Source organism: Homo sapiens, chromosome 18 (genome assembly GCF_000001405.40).
Source record: "Homo sapiens chromosome 18, GRCh38.p14 Primary Assembly".
Taxonomy (NCBI): Eukaryota; Metazoa; Chordata; class Mammalia; order Primates; family Hominidae; genus Homo; species Homo sapiens.
The window spans coordinates 35951045-35951802 of record NC_000018.10 but is presented as its reverse complement, the minus strand read 5'-3'; positions in this window follow the sequence as shown (position 1 = coordinate 35951802).

The following is a 758-nucleotide window of genomic DNA, read 5'->3' as shown; positions in this document are numbered from 1 at the left end:
TTAAGCTGTGGTTAATTTGTTATGGCGCCAAGAGAAAACTAACATGACACATACTTCTCTATATATTCTTCCCTTCTAGAATTACCTCTTCCCAATTTTCCTTTTTTTTTTTTTTTTTTTTAGACAAGGTCTCCCTCTGTCACCCAGGCTGGAGTGCAGTGGCACTATCTTGGCTCACTGCAGCCTCCACCTCCTGGGTTCCAGCAATTCTCATGCCTCAGCCTCCCGAGTAGCTGGGATTACAGGTATCTGCCACCATGCCCAGCTAATTTTTTGTGTTTTTAGTAGACAGGATTTCGCCATGTTGGCCAGGCTGGTCTCGAACTCCCGGCCTCAGGTGATCTGCCCACCTCGGCCTCCCAAAGTGCTGGGATTACAAGTGTGAGCCACCACTCCTGGCCCCAATTTTCCAATTCTACTAGTCTCAAACTCTGTTTTCTGTCCACTTCAAGTCAATCAAGCGATGGCTCTCTGCAGCTGGAGCTGCTCACTGATTGGGGGTTGCCCTCATGTCAAAAGCCATAAACTCACAAATCCCAACAATTTTCATTCATTTTTCAAGGGTGGTTTTCCTACAGTTTCTGCCTTCTTTTGATCAATCTCTAATACCTTCACACATTATTTTAAAAATGCTTTGCTCAGATTGTATAATTTTTATTTTATTTTATTTATTTTTTTTGAGACAGAGTCTTACTCTGTCGCCCAGGTGGTGCACCACCTCGCCCACCTAATTTTTTTCTCTTGTTTGGTATTTCTAG